Raw genomic sequence first — 15,831 nt, 5'->3', positions numbered from 1 at the left:
CATATTGTTCACATCCATAACTTTGAAGATCTCTCTGGATGCTTCAGCAGAGGGAATTTGAATGAGTTCTTCAACCTCCACTGCCACTCACCCAATTTTCCTTCAAATTGACACTCTTAACCCTTCTTTCTCGTTTTCTGTGTTAATATATCAATGTATCTTCTACAGCTACCGGAAAAGTGGAAGCTTTGGGGTTGGTTGTTCATGCTAGCCAATGGACCAGGCTGCTCTGCTCTGCTCTGCTCTGCTGTGCTCTGCTTTGCTTTCTTTTCTCCTCTCCTCTCCCCTCCTCTCCTCTCCTCTCCTCTCCCCTCCCCTCCCCTCCCCTCCCCTCCCCTCCCCTCTCCTCTCCTCTCTTCCTTTTCTTTTCTTTTTTTGACGGAGTTTTGCTCTTGTCACCCAGGCTGGAGTGCAGTGGTGCAATCTGGGCTCACTGCAACCTCCGCCTCCCGGGCTCAAACGATTCTCCTGCCTCAGCCTCCTGAGTAGCTGGGATTACAGGTGTGCACCACCATGCCGGGCTAATTTTTGTGTGTGTTTGTGTATTTTTAGTAGCGAAGGGGTTTCACCATGTTGGCCAGGCTGGTCTCGAACTCCTGACCTCAGGTGACCCGTCCGTCTCCGCCTCCAAAAGTGCTGGGATTATAGGCGTGAGCACGGCTGGACCAGGCTGTGTTTCTAAGGAGATGAAAGTACATACCATGTTCAAATATCCAAATGCCTTTTGCAGCTCATCCCACAAGATCTCTGCCCTCATCTGTGGTAGGGTTCTCTCAGATTGGCAACTGTTGGTGGAGTGCACGAAATTTCAACTAAGTATAAATCTTAACTTCCTTGTGTTGTGGCTAAGGTGTTGGAGTTCACTGGACTAGTATCTTGGGCAAGAAATGAGGAGAAAGTCTGAATCCTTTCCAGGACTTGTCTTCTGCTTGCTTGTGCCTCCTGATTGCTAAGGCATGTATGAAGTATAACTCTAATTTCTTCTAAGTGATTTACACAATTTCTGGTGGTCTTACAGAAATCAGTCAACACCAGGCAGAGAGGGGACCTTGAGTGTCTGACGGTGAAGTTATCATAAGCTAGTTCCCAGAGCAGAACATGGGTGGTCCCTGTAGCTTGGTCCTCCCAGGAGTCTCGGATGTAAGGTTAGCAGTCCTGCTGTTAATTCTGTCACAAATTTTGGACATATTTTCCTTTCTCATATCTGGAGAAAGAATACATAGTCAAGGTCAGTCCTATAAAAACAAATAACCATGAGGTAACTCTCAATATGTGGGTTTCCCTGGTTCTGGAATTCTGCTTGCTTCACTGTTAATGTCAGCATTTGTCAGTCATTTCCCCTCCGGTTCCCTGGTTGGAGGTCAAAGAAGGTGAAGCCATAGGTTTAACATACCTCAAATTTTTGTGGTGAATTGATTACAGGAACAAGTCACACTCTGTAAGTGAATTACTGGGTGTTGTCTGATGAATTAATGAAGTTTAAGAAGTTCTTTCAAAGATCCGTGGCTTCGTGTGTTCATTTCAGTTCTACCAGCAATATTTCTGAGAGCAGAACAAGTCTTGCGTCTTCTCCCTACTTCTCTTCTCTGGCAGTTTCTTGGATCTACATAATTGATAATCTCTTAAGAAGAAAATATTTTATCCTTTTGGAAATTCGTTTTTGAAAGTTGGAGTTTGTGAACCTCTAAAACTGCATCATGGTTTTTCTCTCCCCTTCACCCCCCTCCCCCAGCCCCCAAGAAAGCCCCAGTTTTAGCCTTTGCTTGGCTTCCTTGGAATTTCACTTATGAATACGCACACACACCATCTTTTGAGACTGAAAAAAAAAAAAAAAACCTCTCAAATAATAAAAGAACATCCTGGAGCTCTGACAGGTCTGGATTCTAGGGCATTGATTCCCTGATGTTAGGATGAGGAACTCCCTGCCATGTGACTGGATATGGTCATGGTGCCCTGTATTGTTTAATTGCTTTTGACATCAGTGATCCAGTTTGCACTTAAAAGGATAATCCTGGACTAGATCAAATTCAGTGAGGGAGGACTGGAATGCTTCATAAAGCTAAGAAAGTACAATTATTCTCAGCTAAGAGATTTTCCAACTATAGAAGCTCTCAGGAGATGTTACTGCTCCCCCAAATCCTGCTGAGTGGGCCTCCGATGAAAGCAGATTATTTGTGCTGGTGTGTTGGAGGGGAAGAAGGATGAAAAATCATGAAATCTGAGACCCAATGAGTTCAATTTCTTGGTTCACAGATGAGGAAAGGGATGTTTCTAAATGTTTAATAGAAAGGTAAAGAGGTTTGCTCAGTGTCACATATTTAGTGGCATACCAAATGATCTGTTGAAATGAGCACAGGGCTGGGAGTCAGGAGTCTGGATTCTTCCAATAACTGATTCCGATAGCTTTCCTGTGCCCACTGGCCTGTAGGTTCACATCAGGTCCCAGAGAATGCTGCATACCCCAGGGCTATCCTTATGCCAGATTTGGACAGCTCCAGGGATGAGTATATCCTTGTCTTGCAGGGTAACAGATACTCACTACATCTTTCATGAGCCTTGCTCTGTTGAATTTTTTCAAGGCCTGGCATGTTGGGAATTTGCCTAGACAGCTATGAGGCAGTAGTTTCACGTGGCTCCTAGCCATACTTTTTGTTTAAAGGCAGTGTGAGACTCTTCAAACTTTTGATTTTTATCATTTAAGATTGTTAGAGATAACCCATGATTCATAGCCTAAGACGTAATATATAGCTTTTATCATTGCATTCTCTGCTCAGAAACCTTCAGTGGACTTCCTCTTGCTACCATATAAAGCTCAAATAGGTTACCATAGCATCCACAGCCTGGCTCCCTCTCAACCTTCCCAGTCCTATCTTCCCCAACTCTGCCGCCTTCCAGCCAAAGGTAACAATGAGTGCTTTGTCTTATGCCTGACACTTCTGCATCTCTTGGCCTTGTTTAGTCTTTCTTGGGAGGTGTAGAGGCTTTAGAATGGATAGATATGGGATTAATTTTTAGTTTTCCCAGTCTCTATCTGTGTGACTGTCAGCAAATTCCATAAGATTTTTCAGCTTTAGTTCTCCCATCTGCAAAATGGGGAAATAATGGGGCCTACGTTCCTATTTTAAGTTAAGTTTAAGAGATGAGTGATGTAAAGCACCCAGCATAGGGCCTGATTCTCAGTAACCATTGGAGATACATTTATTCTTTTTATTAGTTAAAATAGTAGACCTTTCCTCTTCCTCTTCTACATGTTCAAATCATAACTATCCTAACATATAAATGCACCTATTTCTGTGAGTTCTTCCTTCACTCCATCTACAACTCCCAAAAGTATACCATTTCTCCATTTTCTGAATTCCCACAGTAACAATTTTGTTCCTCTTCTGTCATTTTTCATTTTTAACCTTGTTTTGGAAAAAGTGATAATTTCGTTATTACTTAGGTGAGCTTCCTGAAATCAAGAACTGTCTTAGTGATTCTTGTATCTCCTAAAGCAGAGGTTCCCAGATTTGGATGATTACTAAATGGATAATTATTATTAATCATCAGGGGCTTTAAAATGTGATTCAAAATTACAGATACAGGCTCAGTAGGTCTGAGTTGGGTGATTCACAACCATCTTCCCTCCAAATACCTAAAACAGGGGGTGGTTCAGTGTATGTTTGTTGAATGAATAATAACTTGGTTCCATGCATATGAAATGTTGTTGAGGAAGATTTCTGCATGGTGGCAGGAGGTTTTCTCACTTTAGTTGTTTGGCTTCCTGGCTGGTCAGTTGGAAGAGAACGTTTCAGGACTGTTGACTGCCTGACTTCTCACTATTTTCTACTTACAAGTTCTGGCTAATGTTGCAAACTTTCACCCCCTTTCCCACCCCACTTTTTCTTCTTTAGTTCTTATTACTTAAAACTATACTTCAAAATACCCTTGACATATTGTACCTGTTTCATGCACAATTCTGGAATTTAAACAAACATGAGGGATACTTTTCTTTCTTATCTGTGTCCTTTATAATCAGGAATGGTTTGACAGTGTCTGGTTTTTTTTTTTTTTCTCCCACTTTTCCCAACCATTTAAAAAAAGGAAAAAAAAATGCTGTTTATTTATTCATTTTTCTACTCAAAACAAGCTTGCCCCTGCTTGTTTTGTTTCTGTGTTGTTGCTTTGTTCCATTTGACCTTTGTTTTTCTTCTTAGGATTAAAAGGAAGGCGAAAAATAAATACACAATTACATTAGGCAATTCTGTTTTGGTCCTAGAGTCCTCTCTTGAAACTTCTTGTATCTTGACCATAATCTATTTGATTAGGATTAAAAGGAAGGGGAAAAATAAAGACACAATTACATTAGACAATTCTATTTTGGTCCTAGAGTCCTCTTGGAACTTCCTTTATCTTGACCATAATCTATTTGATTAGTGGTTCCTAGGGGAAAACAAAGTAAACTCTAGGAATTTCCTCACTCTTACTCTGTTTTATCAACTGCTATCTCTTTCTATAATGCATGCCTTAAAATGAAATTGAAAACCCAGACAAGTGCATCATATAGATCTTATTAGTTTAGAATAAAAATGCTTTCCTGAATTTCATATTTAAATTATTTTTACCTATTTGTAGAATATGTATATTTTATCTGCAAATTATTTCAAATAGAAGATTGATTTCATATCTTCTTGAAATAGCTGTTATGAAATTGTTCTAATGGTTATTTCCTCAAAAGATGAAGCTTTTCCCCCCTCTCTTTAACAACTGAACACTTTTTTGTGCTTAAACCATCAAAACTTACAGGTCACCATCTTTATGTCTCACTCCTTAGGAAGAAAACCTGAGAGATTGTTCATCTAGCTAGATTTTAGGTCCCGTGTGCTAAGGAATTAGAATCACAATTGTTCCTCCTTGGGATTGTCCCATATCTGAAAGCCTGGTCAGCTCCTTACCAGTCATCTATTGCCCGTATAAGTGATAAGTGCCACAGAGGCTTAAAATTTAATTAGATGAGGCTGGGCATGGTGGTTCAAGCCTGTAATCCCAGCACTTTGGGAGGCCGAGGTGGGCGTATCACGAGGTCAGGAGATCGAGACCATCCTGGCTAACACGGTGAAACCCCGTCTCTACTAAAAATACAAAAAGAAATTAGGCGGGCGTGGTGGCAGGCGCCTGTAGTCCCAGCTACTCGGGAGGCTGAGGCAGGAGAATGGCGTGAACCCGGGAGGCGGAGCTTGCAGTGAGCCGAGATGGCGCCACCGCACTCCAGCCTGGGCGACAGAGCAAGACTCCGCCTCAAAAAAAAAAAATAATAATAATAATTAGATGAGGGCAGCAATTGCTTGCAAGTATTCTCCCATGGTTAGTCAGCTTGGTTAATCAGGGATTCCTTCCTGGCCATTTTTTTTTTTTTTTTTTTGAGACGGAGTCTCACTCTGTCGCCCAGGCTGGAGTGTGGTGGCGACATCTCGGCTCACTGCAAGCTCCGCCTCCCGGGTTCACGCCATTCTCCTGCCTCAGCCTCCCGAGTAGCTGGGACTACAGGCGCCCGCCTCCACGCCCGGCTAATTTCTTTTTGTATTTTTAGTAGAGACGGGGTTTCACCGTGTTAGCCAGGATGGTCTCGAACTCCCGACCTCGTGATCCGCCCGCCTCGGCCTCCCAAAGTGCTGGGATTACAGGCGCGAGCCACTGCGCCCGGCCTCCTTTAACAATGGAAATTAATAAACTGCTGCCTCCCTTTCTTCATAGACCTCGTCTCTCAGAATCAAATGGATTCTGTTACTAATATCATCTGCTCATTGATAAACTCCAAAGGGGTAGCTGTGAAATTCTCTTGGAAATGCTTGATAAAATGTCAACTTCCTCATAGGCGAGACTTGATACATTTTGAAAGGTGGATAGGTTCACCTAAATGAAGACTTGCTGGATTTGATATAATGACTATTCTTTTGTATTGCTAAGGAATTAAGTAAACTGTGGATTTCTTAGAGTCACAGATTTTATAGCTGGAAGAGACTCCAAAAGAACACCTTCAAGTCAACTAACTGCTTTGGGGCAGTGACGTAAAAGCAAGGGAGGAAAGGGTAATTATTTTGTTCAAGAAATGTAATCTAACAAGGGTGGAAGTGGTAGTTATTAAAATTATAAAAATGCTATAGCTTGAAAGAGCCCTCAAAGATCATGAAAAAATCTATCCCTGTCACTTAACAGATGATGACACTGGCCTCACAGATTCTACAACAAATCAAGAAGGGAAAGCAAATGGAGCTTGGCCCAGAATAGGTTTTCTCACTTCCAGTCTCCTACTCTTTCCAGCCTCTATGTAACAGTCATGGCTACCTCCTTGAGGGGTGGTCTAGTGAATCAGTGGTGCACTTGAGACCTGCAGTAAACCCATTGCCTTCAGAGACAAAGTGGACATAAGACACATCTTCCTGGACTGCCCCCTCCACCCTGCACTTTCATTCACATGATACATAAGTTATTCAGCCAAGAGTCACAGTTGTCTGGTGGAAAATGTTGCATTTCTCATTAGGAAAAATAATTCCTCCTGTCTTTTTTTTTTCCATTCATCTTTCTTCTATAATTCTTTTTCTGTCTTTTTATTCATCCCTCCTTTCCTGCTGTCTGATTTTCTAGCCGAGTATTTTCCACCAGACCTTGTCATCATTTGCCAAATGGCCTACACATATCTCTAAAAAAAAAATTTGGTGTCAGCCTTCTGAGTGGCGTTCCTAGTGTTGTATGTGTGTTTTGCTGGTTTTAGTACTGAAGAGGACTGCAGACTGTTGTTGAAAGAAGCTATTTCTCTTGACCACACTCCTTTCTGCTCTACTGTACTATATCGTTTCCTCTAGTTATTTCTCTGTTTTTCCTTGGCCCTACCCCTGCATTGTCCTGTTAGTAGTCTACACAATGAAAGTACATCTGAAAAGAAGAGAGCAGAGGGGAAAATGGGGAAAGAGAAAATATTGGTAGACCTAAGGTCAGGTTTCTAGCTGTATTAAAATAAAAGCCATTGAGCCTTTCATTTAATCTGATAAACCGTCATAGATATCTACTTTTTGATACTGTTTTTATGTCACTTACCCTCATGTGTGTTGTGCAAGACCTGGGTATGGGTTAGAGGAAGATGTTCCCCACCAGCTCTCTATCTTTCTGCCACTGCCCGTCTGCCACATTAATGAAACATTAGTACTGCAACCATTGCATTTTATGGATGGGAAAATAAAGCTCAAAAGAGAATCGAGTTGATCAAAGTAAATGCAATCAAATGGAAGATCCAGGATTAGAATCCAGGAACCTAGACTCCCTCCAAGTCCTATGACATTGCCATTGACCACTAGTTGTAAGATCCACACTAGAACAGGGTTCCTCCCATCAATGAGCTCACATCTAATATAGAGGATTTCAAATGGCGCATAATTATAACACAAGACCCATGGGGAAAATTGTCAACCATAATACCAGTTATAGGATTATTTTTATCGCACTCCCCATTATTCCATTAATGATAAAGTGACTTAACCCTAGGGACATTAACGATTTCAGCAAGTTTTACTTTTCTCTCTCTGAGCATCTTCCATGAATTCCTGTGAATAGAAGTGGCTGGATCAGCTTAATTATTTAGGTTCCTTCAGGTCTGTGATTGTGACATTGAGGCTGTCAAGAATATTGTTTATGGCAAGAATCCATGCATCAGGTAAATTAGATGCATGGGATTCTGTACAAAATTTTCTGTGTCTTTGAAACCTCATAAGAAAGAAAGAGTCACATTCAAGTGGGGAATAGGAAGACCAGAAACTGGTTTCATGGAGGAAGTGATGTTTAAAATCTTTTATTCTAGAGGGGCCAATGCTAGTTTCCAGATTGGGGTTTTGATACACAGATGAAAGCTACAGTGTCATTTCTATATATAGTATATTAAAATAGAGCCCCTTTGACTGATTTTTTTTAAAAAAGGCATTCTTTCTCCCCACCCTTTACCACCCTATCTTTCTGCAGCTGCACCCTGCCACATTAATGGAACACTAGTATTCCAGGCATCCCATTTTACAGATGGAAAATAAAGGCCAAAAGAGAATTGAGTGGCCCAAATTTTACAGCACTGTAAGAGAAGGACCAGGGTTAGAATCCAAGAACCCTGACTTCCATTCTGTGAAATGGCCGTTGACCACTATTTGTAAGGCCCCGGTGAAAACACAAGCTTAACGAAGTTAAAATGAAACACACAGCATGCCACTTGCATTATATGCCAAATGAAAGAGACCCTGAAATAAAAGCTGCAATCTTCTTATGCAATGTTATTCCTTGCACTACTGTTCTTCCTACTTCTGGGGAAAACTCAGAAATAAGAACCTGAGTCAATGCTGTTTCCCAGTTAGCTTAATGAAAATGAGTGAGGCAAAGGATCTTCTTTGGAAGGGAAGTAGAAGAATAGGAGCCAGAAAGAGGGAGATCCAAAACGTCAGAATTTCTAGAAGTGCAGGGCTATCAGAATGATCCTGCTGGAATTCATTATCTACAAATATTAGATTCAGTTTTTGAGCACATAACAGGAAACTTCTGGGGATTGCAGTTTAATTGTACTGGGACCCTGGAAAGGAATGGATAAAAGCAAAATATGTAATAAAATAAATGATTACAAAACAAAGAAACTTCTAACAAATCTGGAAGCACAGGAAATTTGAGCCAATTTTGACATATTCTTCTTGCTTGAATGCTAAATTTGTAAGTCTGCCAAAATCAATAGATTTGCACAGAGAAATTGACACATAATTAAGACTCTGGGCATAGAGAATTACCTTAAAACCAGATTTGGCTGTTTTTTAAAAATGAGCTCAAATTATAGTATCAAAGACTAATCCAGTAGACCATACAAATTATTTCTCCACTGAAGCATGTGCTATTTTAAAATAATATTTTCATATGAAATCCAGGATCAACAGTCAGCATTTGATTCTTATACATGCCATTTATAAATGCCGCCAGGGACAGAGACTTTCACAGTCAATCATTGTTTCTATAGGATTACCAAGGGCTCAGTTAAACAGTGGGGTTTGCAGGTTTTCAGGTCAATAAGCATTTCAGTCCGGGTTTCTCAGCCTTGGCTGATTGATATTCTGGGATGAATAATTCTTTGTTGTGGCAAGCTGTCCTGTGCATTTTAGGATGGCCAGCAACATTCCTGGCCTTTACCTGTTATATCAGTAGTAACACAGTCCACTCCCCTCCAAGCAGTGATAACAAAAAATGTCTCCATATATTGCAAAATGTCACTTGGAGGTCAAAATCACCCCAGATAGAAAAACACTGATTTAAACATTTAGCCATATTTAAGATGACTGGGCCAGGTGCGGTGGTTCATGTCTATAATCCCAGCACTTTGGGAGGCTGAGGAGCGTGGATCACCTGAGGTCAGGAGTCCGAGACCAGCCTGGCCAACATGGTGAAACCCCAACTCTACTAAAAATACAAGAATTAGCCAAGTGTGGTGGTGCATGCCTGTAATCCCAGCTACTAGGGAGGCTGAGGTGGGAGAATTGCTTGAACCTGGGAGGGAGAGGCTGCAGTGAGCTGAGATCACGCCACTGCATTCCAGCCTAGGCAATAGAGCGAGACCCTGTGTCAAAAAAAAAAAAAAAAAAAAAGACTGGGCATCAAGGTTAGATGGTTAGATAAGTACAGTTTATACTAGATTATACTAGAAGGCAGTTTGCCCACTGATGAATTATAATATTTATTAAAAAAGTTTGGCTGCAGCTAGATATCTTTTAGAGGAGAAATCTATTGGAAATAGAGCTTCTCTCTTCAAGATGCAAAGCACTTGGCTTATATCCCATATCTGGTTCTCCATAGCTACAGTAACTCAGCTTATGGAAAAGACCAGATAGTTTTCTCTACTGATTGTCCTAACATGATGAGACAGCTTGCTTTAACAATACAAACTAACACATCTTAGTTGTGAATTTCAAACTCCAGAATGACTATATTTCTCATTCACCTTGTAAAGTTCTCAAACCCAATTATTTATAAATAATCCACTGCAACCTGTACGTTTTCTTTGGGTTAGCTCTGTGTCACATCTATTCTTAGGAAGCAGCTTGACTGAAAACAAAAATGCCAACTCACAGAAGGCTGGGAAGTGGGGGAAATAAGAGGAGGTCAGGTGAAAGAAAAAATATTAGAGACAGAAAGAAAGAGAAAGGGAGGGAAGGAGGGAGCCAAAGACTGATACAGAAATAGAGGAAGAAGGATGACGAGATAATGAACAAAAATGAAGCAAAGGAAAGCCAAAAGCAATTAGATTGAAGTCTAAAGGTCTCAGGCATGAAAAGAGTCTCACGAAAGAAAAGTAGGATGTTTCCCACTCTGATATCTGTCTCACGAAAGAAAACTAGGATGTTTCCCACTCTGATATCTATGTTGTATAATTAGTAATTGGGAAGCAGATGTTTGTCTTTCTTCCACTCCGTATTGCCGTAAGGCCATATTCTATTGAGACACTTCTGCCTTGCTGAAGCCCAGAACAGCAGAGTTAATCAGCTTCTTCAGGAAAGAGAAGGAAGTAATTCCTCTGGCTAGAAATTCCACGTGTACAACACTGAATATTTACCAAATGACATAATTCCCCTCTAAAAAAACAAAAACAAACGAGAAAGATCTCAAACAAAAAATGCTAGCTAATAGTTTTCATTAAATTAAACTGTTTTCTCTATCAGCAATTTAAAAAAATACTGAGGCCTTTTAGATGTAACCTTCTTTTTTAAGGCCCTGGAGATATGAAGATGAGTAAGACACTCTTCCTATCTTCAAGTAAGTCACAGTCCATTGAAAAAAACAAATGTGTATATAGCTATAATATTAATTAACGTAATAAACAGAGGCACTCCTATGTGATTATGTAGTGTCAATTCAGAGATGTTTTGTATCAAAAAAGTGAAATTAAATATGGGAAAGAAAAAGTAAAGATTTACAGGCTGGGCATAGATTGGCCACACCTGGCCCAGTCATCTTAAATATGGCTAAATGTTTAAATCAGTGTTTTTCTATCTGGGGTGATTTTGACCTCCAAGTGACATTTTGCAATATATGGAGACATTTTTTGTTATCACTGCTTGGAGGGGAGTGGAATGTGTTACTACTGATATAACAGGTAAAGGCCAGGACTGTTGCTGGCCATCCTGAAATGCACAGCCTGTAAATAATCTCAGTGCTTTGGGAAGCTGAGGTGGGAGGATCACTTGAGCCCAGGAGTTTGAGGCTACAGTGAGCCATGATTGCACCACTGCACTATAGCCAGGGTGACAGAGCAAGACCATGTCTCAAAAAAGAAAAAAAAAATTATGGTGTGTGAAACCTGCCATTTAAAAAATACTGGTAATTTTTAGGCTGGGCACAATGCCTCATGCCTGTAATCCCAACACTTTGGGAGGTAGAGGCTGGAAGATTGCTTGAGTCCAGGAGTTCAAGACTGCCTGTGTAATATAATGGGAACCCTGTGTCTAAAAAAAAAAATAAGTAAAAATAAAATACTGGTAATTTTTAATACTTAGGAAAAAAGGAATAAAAAACAAAAAATACTATTGGAAACAGAGACAGTGAAAAATTTGGAGAATTAATTTAATCAATAGTACAGGCAGTTTTAAGAATAAATTTGACTAATCATAGTTTGTAAAAGAATCTGTACTATTCTGAGGCTTGAAAGAAATGTATGTATAGTAAGATATGAAACAATGCCTTTTAGGGAATTTTACTAATAGTTATAAAATCCATTACCCAAAGCTAAATGTAAGTGAATTGTAGCTTTAAAGATTTTTTAAGTTTGATAAGGGAAATGTTATTTTGCCATTTCAGGTTCCTTTGAAATTCTAGGTGAAGCTCAACCTTCCCTTTTACAGTTCTCCAAATTGTTCACCCTCTTTGTGTCTCAATTTCTATCTCTGTGAAAAGATAATAATAAAAACTGCTCAACTCATAGGGTTGATGAAAGGACAAAATGAGGAAATATTTGTGAAAGTCATTTATGAGGGATAGGATACATAAAATTAGGAGTGAGAAAATAGAGAAATTAAAATCCTTATTCGTAGACTAAATTATTCACACAAAAATGCTATGAAAGCGCAACAAGAAGAAAATCTTCTATTCACACAGCTGAAACACAGGTCAAAGAATCTCCCTATTTTATCGAGATAACTTGTTGAATTATTTTTTACCTCAATAGGTATAAATGTATATCCATCTATCATCTATCTATCATCCAAATATATATCAAGAAAGTCATTAAACTAATAACGAAAAATGTTTTGTGTATGTGCAGGAAGAATCAGACTAAATACTCATATAGAAAAAATTGTCAGCCTTTGAAGACCATCTTATATTATCTTCTTGATACATTTTGTTTTCAAAACAGATTTTGAAGAAACCTGAAATAGCAAAATGACATTTCCTTTAACAGACTTAAAAAGTCACTGAAATCAAACACTTGATCTTAGTTTTGAAGACAGTTATGTTCTATGACTATAGTTATTAGTGATAACAGATATTATTGACTATTACTGTGTACCCGGTATTATGCTAAAAGCTTTATGTAAATTTTCTCATCAAATTCTTTCAACAATCATGAGATCCAAACTCTAGTATATTCTTCATTTTTCAATAGGGATACTGAAGCCTGAAAGATTAAATAATGTGTCTGAGATTATACTGCTAGTAAGTAACAGAATCAGAATCTGCATCCAGATTTTTCTGATCACAAATCCTGAGTTGTCATCCACTTCTCATAGCTTGAGTTTTGACATCAAACAGGTATATAGTCAAAAAAAGTTCTGACATATCGGTTGTTTGAGACTGTATGAAACTTGTCTACGTGAATCAGAATTTTGTATCGGGAAAATGACAATAATCATACCTATTTTACAAGGTACTTGTGAGAAGTTAAAAAAAAAAAAGATTGTTCCTTGCCTCATAGTTTCTAGGCAGATGGTGAATTTCTAAGGGAATATAAAGGGCAAAAGAATATTTAGGCAAATATATCATGGTAAGTGGAGAAAATAATTACATCTATAACAGGTACAGAACACTAGGGGACATATAAAACAGGTGCTTGACCCATTCAATCTGAGTAACTGGCTTCACGTTCAACACTGCGCACTGTAGCACAGACTTACCTGCCTCTCCACCATCAAGATAAAACAAAAATCATCCTCTTAATGGAAATTCGAGGCTGTTCATTTGCTATGTTAAGAAATGTTCTTTTCTTTCTTCCCCATTAAATTCTCCCATTCTCTGATTTCACAATTTCCTTGAGATTGTGTCCTCTTCTTTGTATTTTTTTTAAATGGACTCTGTTCAAACACATTCCAAATCTTCTCTGTTTCATATTAATAGATAAAATCTCTTCCCACAGACACATCTTGGGAATTTTAAACCTCTTTAAGCCTCCTTCCTACCCTGATTTCTTGTACCCATGGGAGATGACTTAAGTTTGAGAATCAACAAACATTTCTTCATCATAGACACCAAAATGAAACTGCTTTTTGTTTAGCAGTCAGGTAAATGGGAGAGTAGCTCACAAAAAGTAGTAGAGGGTTACAAGTCTAGGAATCAAGCAATTTAATCTCTACACCCAGCTCTGTCATAAATGGCTTTCTCTAGTCCTTGGGGTTTGCATTTGGACTAGGGCAGCATTGGGCCAGTTACTTAATAAGAGCTCTTCTGCATCTGCCAGCTTGAGATGCTAAAATACTTTAGTGGATTGGTACAGCAAGCCAACAGTCTACCTGTGGAAACAGAAAACTGATGAGATTATAAAATAATGGAATATAAAATGCAATGGACATAAATTAGTTTAAAAGTTTACAGGAAAGGAATTACTTCCAGTGTATCTAATGCTGGTCCTCATCTTGGGGCAGTGAATCCCTTTAAAGTAAAACTTGAAAGGAAGTTACACAAATATTTAATTTAATGGTAATTTAAGAGGACAGAATAAACTAGGCAATGTTCAAGAGAGACAAAGAAGATAGATAAAAGGCTCAAAACCATATATGAGAAACAGCTGATATAGAGGATGAGTAAGCTAATGAAGAAAAGACAAGCAACAACAACAAAAAATCTCCTTTTGCAGTTTCAAAAAAGATTATCATTTGAGGCGATTGTTCCTGATCTTTATGGCACTGAAGAATTGAAGCACTAGGACCAAATAACAGAAATTACAGAAAACAAGATCTCGGCTCAAATGTGAAAGACTTTCCTCACACTATTCTGAGATCTAATAGGAAGCCCTAGAAGGTGTTCAAACGTGAGTCAAACAAATACCTAATGTAGAGGTTGTATTTAAGGTGCAAGCACCAGAGTGATGTTGAAATGAATGAGATTTAAAATATTTTCCAATCCAAAGTCTATAAGACTCCATGATTTTGTGAAATGAAAATTTCTCTTGTACTCACAGAAAGGATCATTAAAGTCTTTTTCATTGAAAAAGGCATACAGTTTTCTAGCTTCCTTTTGAATTCTAGTTAATGTATTTTAGGCCATGGTTGCCAGCCTACTCCCTATAAATAGTTACATAATGCAAAAAAGAAAAGAGGAAAAAACAGTACCAAGGCCCTAAGACACACATGCCAGAACACACATGCATGGAATATTTAGCAGTAATAATATCCACATGCATGATTGGCATCAGTCCTCTGATTTCCGACTCTTGTCTCCATGAGATGACATCTGAGATGGATTTAGTTGTGGTTACATAGTACCACTGGGGGTTTTAAGTTAAATTTATTACAACTGATCAGGACATCCGTGCTAGGAATTGAAAGTAGGTATGCTTCTCTGAGCGAATATATCGTGATATACTAAGTAAAAGCAATTTCATTTATAGAGGCTTTGCAATCCTATTCTGATTTGCTTCCTGTATGTACTGTCCAGAGGCCAATCTTTAAACCTGGTGGTGTTCTACACTGTAGTTCATTTCTCAAACTTTGATACTGTTAAAGAAATTTAAAGGGTATTAAAATATTAAATATTTTATAATAATATTTAAATAATCCCTTTATCCAGCTCCCTCCTCTTTGAAGTTCTTCCCTCACTCTCTAGTTGGGAGCGGGAGGAGTGCCCTGATACCATCACTGGAGTGGAGGGGAGTGGGTGGAAGTCCATGCTGTCTCGGACCAGCTGACATAAAGGTGAATTGAGCCGTGGTTTTTGCCCCATGCTGTTTGGCTGGAGTAGGATAGATATTATCACTAATATTTCTGTTCTGCTATGCCTAATCCTTTGACTAGAGAGAGCATGCTTTCTAAATGATCTTTGAATGATGATGATGATGAATATAATTTGGAATGGATATGATTTCAGATCTCTAGCAGAGTTTTGTTACCAATACTTTACCACAAAAAGCTACTGAAGGCAGGGTGCAGTGGCTCACTCCTGCAATTCCAGCACTTTGGGAAGCCGAGGCTGGCAGATCACTTGAGGTCATGAGTTCAAGACCAGCCTGGCCAACATAGTGAAGTCCCGTCTCTACTAAAAATACAAAAATTAGCCAGATGTGGTGGCGGGCACCTGTAATCCCAGCTACTTGGGAGGCTGAGGCACGAGAATCGGTTGAACCTGGGAGGCAGAGGTTGCAGTGAGCCGAGATCGCACCACTGCACCCCAGCCTAGGTGACAGAGCAAGACTTCATTGAAAAAAAAAAGCTACTGAAAAACTTTTCTAATGTTGAATAAAAATCTCTAAGTCAACTTTGTCACCACTACTAAATTAACCATAAGTCGGTGAACCGGATTGTGCTATAGTTCATGTCAAGTTGTTGAGTATTCTTTCCTACCTCTGCTTTAGAAGTATGG

The 15,831-nt window shown here is 39.2% G+C and overlaps 1 protein-coding gene across 2 annotated transcripts in view; it reads left to right on the top strand.

Annotated features, from left to right (window-relative positions):
* P3H2 (prolyl 3-hydroxylase 2) overlaps window positions 1-15,831 on the top strand; it is a 165,551-nt gene that overhangs the window by 2,798 nt on the left and 146,922 nt on the right. The window lies entirely within an intron of this gene.

The sequence above is a fragment of the Homo sapiens genome, chromosome 3, assembly GCF_000001405.40.
Source record: "Homo sapiens chromosome 3, GRCh38.p14 Primary Assembly".
In the NCBI taxonomy this organism is placed as follows: domain Eukaryota; kingdom Metazoa; phylum Chordata; class Mammalia; order Primates; family Hominidae; genus Homo; species Homo sapiens.
Note: the sequence above shows the minus strand (reverse complement) of the source record. Positions and strands in the feature narration are given on the sequence as shown.